The 1,294-nt window shown below is 48.7% G+C and overlaps 1 annotated feature.

Moving 5' to 3' along the window:
* Positions 259-760: an enhancer, noted in NCBI's record as "H3K27ac hESC enhancer chr5:100666245-100666746 (GRCh37/hg19 assembly coordinates)". NCBI's record gives its function as "activates a minimal SCP1, AML or CMV promoter by ChIP-STARR-seq in naive H9 embryonic stem cells {active_cell/tissue: H9 hESC(naive)}" and the evidence as "EXISTENCE:reporter gene assay evidence [ECO:0000049][PMID:30033119]".

Here is a 1,294-nt window from a genome sequence, read left to right as displayed (position 1 = left end):
CACAACACTCCAATTGCTCACACTGGCCAGTGTGTTACATTGATATAGTGGCAGCAGGATACATGCTAATGCATGGGTGCCAGCAGCCCTGGTGGTGTGACAGGGTGCAGACGAGTCAGTTGAGGCAGGGCCCCTGTGTGTGCAGATTGGCAACATGACCCTGGCAGGTGCAGAGCTGCAGGTGGGCTGGTGTGCATTAGTGGAGGCCAGTCTGCTGGAGCATTCCAGTGGTCAAGCACTGTCTGCCTGCAAAGTAGCTATAATGAGGGGTTCCAGGAAAGGCTGCACTGCCCATGGGCATGACTAGGGCGCCAGGAGAGGTTGGCAAACAGGGTATGCTCACACTGGACTGGCCCCATCCACAGAAAGACTGCTGTGCTCTGTTCAGATCAGACAGTCACCCAAAGTCTAAAGCCTCCTGGAGGAGCATAACAAGCCTTCAGGGATAGATATTCCTGGCCATGTTCTTCTGTAGCCATTCTGGTGCCAAACACCCTGGTCTTTGCAAAGGCTGGAATCCTTCCCCTACCACCTCTCTTAGCATCTCACCATGGCAGCTCAAGTGCCCATGGGGGTCATGGGTTTTCCTGCTGTTAGAATTCTCAATATCCATGGTAGCAACAGGCCACTCCTTACTTGTTCAACTCATCACTTCCCCAGGAGTCACTGGGTGCCAGCAATAAGTCCCAGTTTTAGGCAGCCCCATGCAGCGTTCCCAGTTTCCTCCTCCTTCAGCCCAGCATCTGTGTTTTCCCTCCATCCACTCTCAATGCCTTCCCTCAAGATCTGCTCAAAGTGTGCCAATCTTCCTGATGTTCCTGTCACTCGGTTGGAGATGTTCCTCCTGGCTGCATCAAGTCAGCCAGTTTCGCTCCCCTCTCCACCTTACTAGTGCTCTCAAAGGGTGATTACCTACACCGTATGATTTTAATGATCCTATTGAGGCTCTGAATCCAACTGACCTCCTCTCATCCATCACTAAAGAGTTATTTCTTTGAGCTTGATGAATAGTCTTTCCATTTACATAAATGCTGTCTATATGAAATGTATGGATTTATATAAATTAAACTTGTGAATTATTTCACTGATTTGAGTCTATTGATTCAAACTAATCTTATGAGAGACATGAAAAAAATAGTTCTTTTTGGTAGCTACTGACTGAGAAGGGGCAGTAGGGAATTTTCAGGGGGTCTGGAGAAGACTACACAAAGATCAAGGCAGAGATTGGGATGGTGTGGCCACAAGCGGAGAAAGTCAAGGAATGCTGACAACTACCAGAAGTGGGAATAGCCAA

Source organism: Homo sapiens, chromosome 5, assembly GCF_000001405.40.
Source record: "Homo sapiens chromosome 5, GRCh38.p14 Primary Assembly".
In the NCBI taxonomy this organism is placed as follows: Eukaryota; Metazoa; Chordata; class Mammalia; order Primates; family Hominidae; genus Homo; species Homo sapiens.
The sequence above is the reverse complement of the archived record's forward strand: the minus strand, read 5'-3'. Positions and strand labels throughout refer to the sequence as shown.